We start from the raw sequence: 12,007 nt of genomic DNA, 5'->3' as shown, positions 1-12,007 counted from the left end.
TAAGACTGGAGTTTGTATTCATTCAACAAATTAAATTGACATCGAGTACATGCCAGACATTTGCTCCCCTAGGTGCAGATAAATAAAATTCCTTTCCACTTCTCTCTCCTAAATAGGTGGGTGAGGAGAAAAGCAACTAGTCAGATTTGAGGGATGGTGAACTAGTCTCACCCACTTCTTTCCCACTTCAGGTCCTACATAAGTCACATAAAAATAATGATCCATCAGAAACTGTTGCCAGAATTCATGCAGACCCGGGGAATCCACGTTAAGACATTAACTTCATGCAGCTAAGGTGGGAGGCATGAAAGAGGGCATCTTTCTAGACCCATCCAGCTCTGTGAACTTCCGACAATAAAAGCATGGTTCTAACACGCCATCAAGCAGAAATATGCTGATTTATTTTCAAATGCTGGTGCATGATTCCAAGAGACAAACAGTCCATAATAAATTTATCCCAGTGGCAGAACATCTCACAACCAGCTTTTCCACTTTGAGTACCACAAGCAGACCTTTTATTTGTTGACACACAGCCCCTGGACATTCATGAAAACAAGATGTTCTCTTGCTGCTTTTTAAGTTAAACAGATTTAAGTCAAGGTCTCAGCTCTCAGCCGAATCTTAAAAACAGATGTTACATAGCAAAAAGGCTACACTGACCCCAGCAATAAGAGGCTATTTCACTTGAACTTGGATATTCTTTGTCAGCAGAAGTGATCAAAGATGCTTTAAACTGGAGGCAGGAGCAGCCCAGGGTTTACTACTGTCTCCATTCAATGACTGCCTAGAAGGTCTGGGAAGCTGTTGGGTATTCAGGACTCTTGTTTTGGGGAATAAATGTGCTGGGAAAGGCTGGTGATTGGGAGGTGCAAATTCCTTGGTTTTGAATGGAGTTATTCAGGAAAAATGATCTTCCTCCCACATACCACCATCTTGTTTCTCTGCAGAACCCAGAAACTCACTGTGAAATGGCTCCACTCTATCCATCACATGATTCCTCTCCCCACCCTACCCTCCCATGCAAACACAACTTACAGCCAAGCCAAACTCCTGAATCCTGCAATAATTTCACCCTCATTTCTGCCTCTGGGCCTTTGTCTCTGGCTTCTTGCTGCCCATAACCTGAAGTGCCCTCCACTCCTGCAAATCCCCTATATTTTTCTAGAGTCCAGCTCAAGTCCTATCTTTATCCCAGAACCACCCTCCCTTTCAGCTTCTACAGCAATTATTGGCCTTGTTCTTGGTGATCAATACTATATGGCCTTGCTGTTCAAATGTTTTGTACCATCACTTTCTCTTGACCAAGTCTGAAGCTGCTCAGTGTCAAGGCCTACATCTCCTCTGACATCCCCTCACAGTGCTGAGTACTTTGCTGTGCAGTTATTTATGAATGGAAATATTTGCTGAGTTGAACTCATTGAAAAGCTTAAGAATTCTGGCCTGAGACTCCAAGTTCCAAATAATGTCACAGCTGTGATCCTTTGTGCTGTTTGCCCCATATTCTTGTTTTACTTCTTCTGGGCACATTATAGTATTGTGCTTGCCCCTTGTGGTCATCTGGGGCCAAGTGGCTAATTCTGGCCAATGAGTTTTGAGCAGAAGTATCATGTCACTTCTGGGGTAGACTTGCCAATAGGAGACCCTCCAAAGAGCTCTTTTCTCTCCATCATGGTTGGTAAGATTTCCAGACAGTCATTGTCAGTAGGGGTGGCTAAGCATGGATGACAGTGATGTGGACTAGAAACCCTTGCCTATCCAGGGTTAGTGACAAAGCATGAGTGATAAACACACGTTCATTTTGACGTTGCTGAGATTTTGGCTGTTTCTGACACCAGCATAACCTAGCTTGTCATGACTGATAGAGTCTTGGCCAGCTCTGACATTAGGTTGTACTCGTCTCTGTTTCTAAGCAAGTGCTTGCTCAGATTCCTGATTTCCTATTTCCCTTCTGAGACCTCTAGTTTAGAAACAGGGATAGGTAGGTTAACCGGAACACTGTTTGCAGGTAGAGCATCAGGGAGTGGAAGTGACTCATATTTCACTTCCTTATGGGCCCATCTCTTTACTCCAGTGAGCCATAAAACTGCCACTAACTGTTGCAGTGTTCGTGTATTATGGGATCATTCATTTATATCAGGCATGACAAACTCAAATAGCTTAAAGGACCAAAGAGGTAACTATTTGGGGAGTGGTAGCTTATGGGAAAATGGAGAACATATGCATCCCTGCATCCCTATGAGCATTCAGACTCAAAATTTGAAAAAAATGCTTGTATTAGTCTATTCTCACACTGCTAGTAAAGACATACCTGAGACTGGGTAATTTATAAAGGAAAGATGTTTAATTGAATCACAGTTCCACGTGGCTGGGGAGGCCTCACAATCATGGTGGAAGGTGAATGAGGAGCAAAGGGACGTCTTACATGGCAGCAGGCTAGAGAGAGCATGTGTGGGGGAAATCCCCTTTATAAAACCATCAGATCTTGTGAGACTTATTCACTATCATGAGAACAACACAGGGAAAAACCCACTCCCAAGATTCAATTACTTCCCACCTGGTCCCTCCCATGACACATGAGGAATATTACAACTCAAGGTGAGATTTGAGTGGGTACACAAAGCCAAACCACATCAAGGGTGGACAAGGGAAGCACATTTGCAGGGCAGCATGGGCCCTGGGTTGCTGTCTTTCACTGATGGCTGACCATGTGCCATGTTAGGCACTGTGAGGAGTTGCAAGAGTGAACCCACAAGCAATCCCATATAGCTTTCATTCTAGATGGATAAGTTGATTTCTTTCGACAACAGTTATGTAGCACTTACTATGTACCAAGCACAGTTCTAAGAACTGTGATAATATCAGTTTAAATCCTTGTGACAATCCTTATTATTTCCATTTTACAGATGAAAAGACAGAGGCCCAGAGAAGGTGAGTCATTGGCCCAAGGTCACATAGCTAGTAAGTGGTAGAGCTGGGGTCTACATCCAGGCAACTCAGCCCCAGATTGTGTGCTTTTAATCACAACACTCTGTTACATCTCACAAGACCTGTAAATGGATAATACATAGTAGACTGTAGCAAGGACCTCAATGATGAAATGATCACGTGATTGCCTGGAAGGATTTATGTTCTTCTACAAATGCTCTTACTAGGAGCTGTTTCCTGTCAGCAGGAGGCCTTGGCCTGCTTGATGTTAGGTTCCGTTCATATTTGATGTTTATTAATGAAGTAAAAATGAATCTTCTGTTTATGTTCACTTGTGCCTTGGCAAACTGATTTATTATTTCACTTAAGTGGGGTTCACTTTAGAAAATAAGCTGAATTTGTCTTAAAGCCTTAAAAAAATAAATGATCACATTTCACACTTTGACCATTTCTTTGCTTTGCTTACTTAATTAGCTTTAGACACGATGCTAAATCATCTCAGTATATCTGTGTCAGTTTCAGGGCAGATCCAGGTTTTGTGGGACCTGAAGATTATTTGAGAGGCCTTCTTGGAAAACCAGAATACAATAGTAAATGTAAAAAGTTAGGCATGGGGGTGTTGAGGCAGGGACCTCTCCCCATGAGAGGCCCTGCGGCTTAAACTCTACTGACTTCACGGTAAATTGGCTTCTGGTCTCTCATCTTTGATTCTCATGAGCATTTCATAAAAATATCACAGCACCCTTATTTTGCTTTTAAATTCAATTACTATCAGCTCTCCATATCCATGGGTTCTGCATCCATAGATTCAATCAACCAGGGATAGAAAAATATATTTTTAAAAAAAACCAACGCAATTAAAAAAACCATACAACAATAAAAAATATAATAGGAAATACAGTATAACAGTGATTTACATAGCATTTACATTTTATTAGGTGTTAGAGGTAGAGATGATTTAAAGTATACGATAGGATATGCATAGATTATGTGCAAATACTGTGCCATTGTATATCAGGGAACTGAGCATCAGTATATTTTGGTATCCTCGGGAGTCCTGAAACCAATCCCCTATGGATACAGAGGAAGCAGCATACTTGGAACTACATTATAATCTGCTTTTAACAACATTCTATACAAAAGTTAGAATCTAGGAAACAATAATGTAGGGGGCAATTATGCATTACCCTTCAAGTGATTTGCAGAAAAGTAGATTTACAGATATAGCCAGTGCATGCCTGTGTTTTGCCTATAAACCGCATAATAAAGTGTGATAGGTGGATGAGAGGGCAGAGAAATTTAAAATATTATGACCCTTTGCCAAGACGAAGCCAATGAAAAATAAATACAGTATTAGAAATCACAATTTACGTCACTGAACACGTCATTGGATTCACAAAATTTTCCATTGCATTTAATTAAAAAAAAGCCCATTTTATGGTAAGGAATACTAGAATTGCAAATGTAACACAGAACTAATATGGCACGTGAGATGGAGAAGGTCCAATCCAGTGATATCTGTAGAATGAATGAATTAACGACTGACTGAATATGCATATTTAAGGAAGGTGCTAATGGTGGTCACAGGCTTCCCTCATCAACCCCAACTTATAATTGCATTTTAAAATTTATAAACCATTAGCCAATAATGGGAGACAGTTAGCTAGATTCCCGGAGTCTCTCATAATAACAAATGTCTTTATATTTATAATTTTGTAATTCTGTGTGAAATCAGATTCAAAATCATGGTATCATATACTTATGGGAGGAATTCTTTGAGGAACTTGGAGAAAATACTCCTAGAAGAGCTTCTTCATTAGGGCCCAACATGAATGCAGTATGTTTGCATTCATTCTCGTCTGCATCCTGTGGATATGGTGAAATGCTTTCCCCCAAACTCAGGATGCCCCATTCCATGATATATCATATTTGGTCATTAAAGAACAGGATTCATTATTAACATTGGCCTTCTTCACTGCTCTTTAGCAAAGTGTTTTCAGCCAAATATATTAAACTAGTCAACTGCCCTTTTCCCCTGTCAGTAAAACAGCCAGCATCCTGAAATCACAGCTCATTTGTACCACATTGGCGTGAATATTCAGACTTCATTTGTCTCTAGCTCTTAGAGGCTGGTGTTAGAGTGCGTGATGGACATTTTGTTTTGAATTAGCGAAAGGGAGGAGGAAAGAAAAAATCCAAGTTATAAGTTTGGGCTAAAATATGTTTCAGGGAATGCAGCTCTGCCTTTTCCTCTAGGAAACGTCTATTAAAAAAAAATCCAGATTTAATTTGGCATTAAGTTGAGCCTGGGATACAGAGAATAGTAGGAAGGAAAATGTCTTAGGGCTTTTTTTTTTTCCCCAGACTGTTTGTTCTGCTTAAGTCCTATTTGAGTACTGTTGCACGGCGTGGTATGAGATGTTCACAACTTAATCCTGTTAGGCATCCTAAAGCAGAGTTCAGAAGCAATTGAGTCTGTGTCCTGTAACTGTACAAATGCTATTCCAGTTGGAACCTTAGGAAAGGCTTGATAGTTTTTGGTTCAAAGCTAAATAGCACAATCATTCTTTTCTCTTTACTTGTGTACTCACTTGCGCTTATGGGGAAAAAAAGCCTGGAAAGGAGTTCTAGACAAGAGCTCCTGGCACCGTTGTGTGTTTTTCTCCCTGCTGTATCCCCCTTCTCAGCACAGTCTTTCTCTGTCAATGGTCATGCCAGGCAGAAAGGTGTGTTTTCATGGAGGTGCCTCTTAAGACCAGGTGCAATTCCCTGGCCGGGGAAACACGTTTATTTGGGCAAGGTTACTAAAGCTGCACGTGGTGGTGTTGGAATGTCCTCTACCCTCTTTACTATGGAGGTTTCCAGAACGCTGGGAGTCCCATGGGACCTGTGACCTCGTGTCCCCTCAATCCTTAACCAAATCTGGACTATGCCCAGGCTCATTGTGGACTTTTCTTCTCATATCTCATGACAAGGACCCTGAGAGTGGTCTCCTTGAGAGGAGACTCCCAGGGAAGGGAGTGGATTCCAGACCTTCTCCCATATAAGCCTAGTTCTACAGCCACTACTAAAAACCCACAGGAAGGAATCTTAGTTTAAGAAAGATCCCTTCAGATCCTACTATAAAAAGCTTGGGCCCACCTGAACCAAAGGAGACTAAGGACTTTGTCAAGGTTTCCAGGGAGGCTCATTCTGCAAAACTCAAGAAAAGAAGAAGAAAATAAAAACCCAAGCTTCTCTTTCCACTCCATCTGGAGCTTCGACTGACTTCAAAAATACTGGCCCACAGTGGTTATAAAATCTCCCATTCGAAAACAAGGGCAAAGCCTTCGAAGTGCTTACAACTCAAAGCACTTCTTTTACGTGCTCATAGGAAAATGATCTTTCTCTCCAAGCCCACGAGCTGACTGAAATTAATGAAACACAGTCGGGAGGCACCTATGTTGGCCACTGGCCATCATTCATTGGAACACCCCAACTAGACCATTCATGGATTGCAAAGGGTTTCCTCTTGCTTTCAACATTTCTCATTTGATATAATTAGTAATTTGCATAAAATCACTGACCCAAGTGTCACTGACATTTTGGGTACCTTCGAGAAAATGGGCATCTTTTTCCTGGCTACTCCAAGAACACAAAGAGGAAAGTGTGGAAGTGGGTTCTTGAAGAAAGCTGGTATCTCAATGTACATTTAAAACAATTGGGTGAGGAGGGGGAATAAAGAAATGCAGGAGGTGGCTTCCAGATCTCTGATAGCCTCTTCTGCTCATAATCAGAAAATCACCCTGAAGCTCAAGGGTTTCTACTAAGGAAGGAGAACTAAGGGAGAGAGAAGAAACATAAAGCAAGGAGAGAACTTAAAGGAAAAGAAATAACACTTTGGAAAATAAAAGAGAGATGAATAAATACCTTTACCCCTTTTATTTGCATCATGCTAGCAGGGCAAATTAGGGAAATTCAGCCCAGGGGTAAATATGGCTCCGTGAGAAATGACATTTGATGGTGAGGCCTAGAGAGGGGAGGCTGGTAATGACTGTCAGGGGCCATGGCCTGGCCCCTCCACTCTCTGGTCTGGCAGGGAAACCCTAAAATACTGCCAAAGCTTATTCTGGGGAACAGGTGGAGTGGGACAATCAGCAGGGGACAATGGACAAAGGAGGGAGTTCAGGGCAAAAGAGGCACAGCCCTCCACCCCTATCTGGGGCCTTTACTGACTAAACAAGATGATGCTCTGTGACCATAGCGTCACAGCCACCTGACCCTGAAAACGACCTGCCTCTGTCTCTTTGGTCATTAAGGATTCTCATCCTGGCCTCCCCTCCTGTCCATTCTGATCAGCTCTGATTGGCTGATGAAGAAAATGGGCCCAAAGGAAGTTTGTCTAAGATTCCCTGAGCAGGCAGCAGGGGAGTTGGACAATGACCATAGGTGGAGTTAGCTAGAAGGGAGCAAAGGTGGGTAGGAGAAGGCTCACAGGAATGGTTTGGGGCATAGCCCCCAAAAGACAGGACAGAGAAGGAACAAAATAGGTCCAAAAACACTAGGGGAGAAAAAATAGACACACACATTAGCTCATCTACATGTTCTCACACAGCTTCATTAGAAGTATCGTGCAGTGTTCTTCCTCTTGGACGGGTCCTTCTCCTGTTATCTAGCAGGAAAAATTTCCATACACAATTTCTGATGGAATCTTTAAGCCACTGCTCCTCTCCCTCTACACAGTCTTCCTTGGTGGCCTCATTCATTGACACACTGCTGCTTCCTGCCTGTAGGTGGTGACTGTGAACATCTCTGGTTCTCACCTGACCTTCAGACCTGCATATGCATTGTTTTCTAGACACATGCCCTTGCATGTCCCACAGGCTTCAAACTCAGTAAGTCCCTCTTGGATCCCCGAACAGTTTTCTTGTGGAAAGGCCACCTTAACTGGGGCATGCTTGTGCTATTTACTATTTCCTACCTCTGGGAGAAAGGTAACTCTCCTGCTATTAGTCAATCACACCTTTCTTTCAATTTTTCTCCTCAGCCTTAACTTATTTCTACCTGTCTTGGGGGGCAGGAAGTGAGGAGAAAGCATCTTTAATACTCATCATTTGGAGACAGTCTTAAAGCAAATAAATTGCAGGTTCAGAGGCTGCATCTAATCCTCTTTCCATTCATTCATTCATTCATTTAATAAATATTACAAAATGTCTACTGTATACAAAACCTCCTCTAGTGCTATGAGAGATGTAAAAGGCACACTCTCTGATTTCAGAATTTATAGAATGTCATAGGGAAATGAGAGCTGTACCCAAATGATTATAATACACTCTAAGAACTGCAGATGCTCTGAGAGTAATGTAATCGCTAAAAGAGTTCAGGAGGGGAGAAACAGAGGGAAGCCCACGTGCAATAAACAAAAAGTCAGCATATTAGAGAGGGAAAATGATGGTGGCAGCATTATGGGCTGAATGGTATTTCCCCCAAATTCATACGTTGAAATCCTAACTTTCAGGATCTCAGAATGTAACCGCATTTGGAGATGAGTTCTTCAAAGAGTGATTAAGTTAAAATGAGGTCTTTAGGGTGGGCCTAATCCAATATGACTGGTGTTTTTACAAGAAGAGGAAATTTGGGCACAGAGAGAAAGACACCAGACAGGTGTGTGCCCGGAGAGAGGACCACGTGAAGACACAGGGAGAAGGTGGCCATCTGCAAGGAGGGCCTCGAGAAATCCACCATGCCAACACTTTGATCTCAGACTTCTACCCTCCAGAATGGTGAGAAAAGAAATCTCTGTTGTTTAAGCCACCCAGTCTGTGGATTTTCACTATGGTAGCCTGAGAAAACTTGCATGGGGGCAACAGATAGAATTTTGAAACAACAATTGCCTGAGTGGTGTGCTGAACTCCTGAAGAACTTTTCTACCTACTGGAGCCAAGCTCAGCAAAACTGTGAATGAGTGAAATGCCCTTTGGTTTCTCCATCCTCTAAAGTGGAAATCCCCTCTTTCACCTCCCTAGGTGGTCCTTGTTCTGGTAGAAGTTTTCCTCCCAGGTGAGAGAGATTTGTTGAAAGTGAGGGGTACTTAGCACTCCTGAGATCACCAGTGTTTGCACAAAGGTGAGCTTATTCACCTTGGAAGGCTGACTCATGTTGTCTTTATTGATTCAAGTCACTAGCATTTTTCACAGGAAGTGAAGACTTCATGATTGATCCAGGACTGTTTTGTGAAAGATATTACATTGCAGGAAACATTTAAAAATAAAGCAAAAAAAAAAAATCAGATTACAAAACAGGATAAAAGACTTGATAGATCCTTCAAAACTTGATAGATTCTAACTGATTAATTAACTGGCAAGTAAAGTAGGAGGGCCACAGCAGAAAAACTGGTTTCTCACAGTGCATCTTCAGATGTAAGAATTTAGAATATCAGGCACAGAGGCTGTGTAATTCCTAAGAGCAGAGCCCAAAGTATTAATAAAACATAAACTTTACTCACAGGTCAGCAATCAGATGTCTGAGCCTTCTGGTTGGTCACCAATCCCTGTGGAATTTGATTTGATGATCTTGAAATGTTCCAATGATACCTGGAATAAAAGGAGGATGGAAACATAATTCAGTTGAATGAATTTTAGCTAATACAGACTATATATTTTCAAATATCATTTCTTCCTCAAGTACTGTTGTTAGTTAGAATCTAAAGGGAGAAGTAAGGCAGGGGTAGAAATAGCTATTGTGCATTTGCATTTTAAGGAAAATACAGTTATCGCAAAGTCCATCCATTTATTCTGAATAAATTATTCTGGAGAAGGAGGTATAGTTAAGACAAACCCAGGGATAGTATCTAATTGCCAAGTTTCTTTTTCACTGCTCCCAATCCCCTCAGTAATTTTATTTCAAAATTTGAGAATGAATAAAGGGAAACTGAAGGAAGAAAATGTTATAAGTGGAAAACTTTTTTGGTCTGTAGTGTCTATGTATGTCCATGAACTACCTTGTTAGTGAGACAAAGACAGAAAGGCTTTCAAGAGAAAACATAAAATGAATGGCAGAGTCACTAACAGTGGAGTTTGTCTTCAGATAATCTCTTTCCTTTCTATTTTCAGATTTAGGGTCTAAGGGCCAGAGAGTTGCTAAAGCTCTTACTCCCTGTTTAAGATCTTTCTCTCCCATCAGTTACCTCGCAACTTCAAATAGACGCCCGGGTGAACCATTCCTCCCTTGAGCCCTTTAAGCCATAGCTTTTAATGCAGTGCCCGACACACAGATGCTGGCTGCCCTGGCTCAGAAGCAGTTGCCAAAGGTCTCTGCAGGGAAAGCTGAGTCTAGACCGGAGGTAGTAAGGAAGGAAAAGGCCCAAGATGAAGGAAGACGGGAAGGGAGCTGGGCCCTGTTAGGCAAATGAGCCTGTCTTCCTCCCCGAGTCCCCATTGCAGCCAGTGGCAAACAGCCAGGCACTAGTTATTGCTCCTTTGATTTAACCATCTCCTCGGGCATGGGGAGAAATGAGTTTTATATGAAAACATTTACTATAGGAGAACCAAGGTGTAATAAAAAGAAAGAAGTAATTTCTTCCCTCTTGATCAGATTTCTAGTCCCCTAAGAATAGTGATTTTCTTAGAACCCCCAGGAAACCTCTAGCTAAAGTCATTCAGTAGCATGAAAAACTGTAACTAGCACCTTTCTAGATTAAACAAATAGAAAAACATTGCTAGCATATATTTACAGGAGATGGTTAATATCCTAATTTAAAATTTCTACTGCAAGTATTCTCAGAAAGATGGCATTTTCCAAATGGATACTAAGAGCAGAGGGTGAGATGATAACTTATTTCAACAGAGAATCATTGCAAAGGTTAAATTAGGGATCCTTTACAAAAATAAATAATTGTAAATAACTAACAAGAAGACCCAGATTTTCATTAATTTAAAATTTTATCTTACATGGTTGAATTAGGGTCTCTGATTTCAACATTACCATTTTTATAAAACAATTCCTCTGTGACTTTTTCATAATATGATTTGCTTTCATTATGGAAATAATAATAATAACTATTGTTTGTTAAGTATTTTTCAGTGGTAGGCCCTGTGCTAAGCACATTGCACACATTATTTCATTTGATGACTGTAACAACCTTGTAAAATACATATTCTTATCTTAGGATAAGCACTGAGAAGTTTCTTGGCTGAAGTCATTTGCCTGAATTCACCCAGCTAGTGGTGAGGCCAGTATTCAAAGCCAGGGCCTGACCCACCATGCTGGGTGTATTTGGTGGATACAGGAGCCCACTTGCTTGTTCACTGAGTGAGTCCTCTGCTTCAGGACACAGCACAAGGTGATGTACAAGGGCTCTGCTTCCATGGAGCTTATACTCTGCTGGAGTTCAGACACCATACATTTCTGATAGTGAGTGAGCAAATAAAAAACAGCAGGATGTAAAGAGGTCCACTGAGGGTCCCTGGAGGTTGGATGGTGAGGGATAGTCTCTCTGAAAAGGAGACATCTAGGCTAAAAACACATTTCTAGGAAGAAGCCCCCCCATGTAAAGATCTGAAGGAAGCATGTTCCAGGCAGAGCCCTTGAGAAGCCTGGTGTGAGGCTTTTATGAGATGGCTGTGTGCTCTGGGATCATGAAACTTCCAAGTTACTCAGTCCATGTGGGATTCAGGCTCATATGTCTGTTCGTAGAGTACACAATGCTGAAAGATGTGCTGGACACAGGGTCTTACCAAAAAACGATCCCCACAGGGCTGCCTTTGCTGGAAAGCATGAGGATCTGTCCCTGCCCAGAGATGAAAGTGCCAAAGAAGCACATGATCACCTTTGTATCCAGTGCCCAGAGGGATGGAGGTTCCCCACTCCCTTTTTTGCTAGGTAGACTTCAAGAGAGCTGTGTTCTACAGGCTTGCACGAGCTCCTTTCATACATTAGAGGATAAGGCAGATCATTTCTTAATAACAGACAGAAAAATGAAAAGCTACAGGACATAATCCTTAAAATGGGAAAGGAATGGCAAGTACCTATTTCAATCATAGTTGGCAGGAAGTCACATAATTTGTGGGGATGGAAATTAAAATAAAATATTTAAAAATAGATC

General features: G+C 41.5%; 1 protein-coding gene and 1 long non-coding RNA gene across 33 annotated transcripts in view, besides 1 other annotated feature; one reads left to right on the top strand and one right to left on the bottom strand.

Moving 5' to 3' along the window:
- CALD1 (caldesmon 1) overlaps nt 1-12,007 on the bottom strand; it is a 259,231-nt gene that overhangs the window by 117,349 nt on the left and 129,875 nt on the right. For all 29 annotated transcript variants that reach the window (NR_199386.1, NM_001438770.1, NM_001438779.1 and 26 more), the window contains one exon: nt 9,410-9,497. The gene's annotated coding sequence lies outside the window, so the exon portion shown is untranslated. The remainder of the gene's footprint in view (nt 1-9,409; nt 9,498-12,007) is intronic.
- Nucleotides 7,177-8,376: an enhancer, noted in NCBI's record as "BRD4-independent group 4 enhancer chr7:134529756-134530955 (GRCh37/hg19 assembly coordinates)". NCBI's record gives its function as "activates an origin of replication core promoter dependent on BRD2, P300/CBP, MED14 and CDK7 cofactors, and independent of BRD4, by STARR-seq in HCT116 cells {active_cell/tissue: HCT116}" and the evidence as "EXISTENCE:reporter gene assay evidence [ECO:0000049][PMID:35650434]".
- LOC124901750 (uncharacterized) overlaps nt 9,497-12,007 on the top strand; it is a 224,798-nt gene continuing 222,287 nt past the window's right edge. For all 4 annotated transcript variants that reach the window (XR_007060537.1, XR_007060538.1, XR_007060536.1 and 1 more), the window contains exon 1: nt 9,497-12,007. This exon is cut by the window's right edge and continues 26,710 nt beyond it. This is a non-coding gene — a long non-coding RNA (uncharacterized LOC124901750).

This window comes from Homo sapiens, chromosome 7, assembly GCF_000001405.40.
Source record: "Homo sapiens chromosome 7, GRCh38.p14 Primary Assembly".
Taxonomy (NCBI): Eukaryota; Metazoa; Chordata; class Mammalia; order Primates; family Hominidae; genus Homo; species Homo sapiens.
Note: the sequence above shows the minus strand (reverse complement) of the source record. Positions and strands in the feature narration are given on the sequence as shown.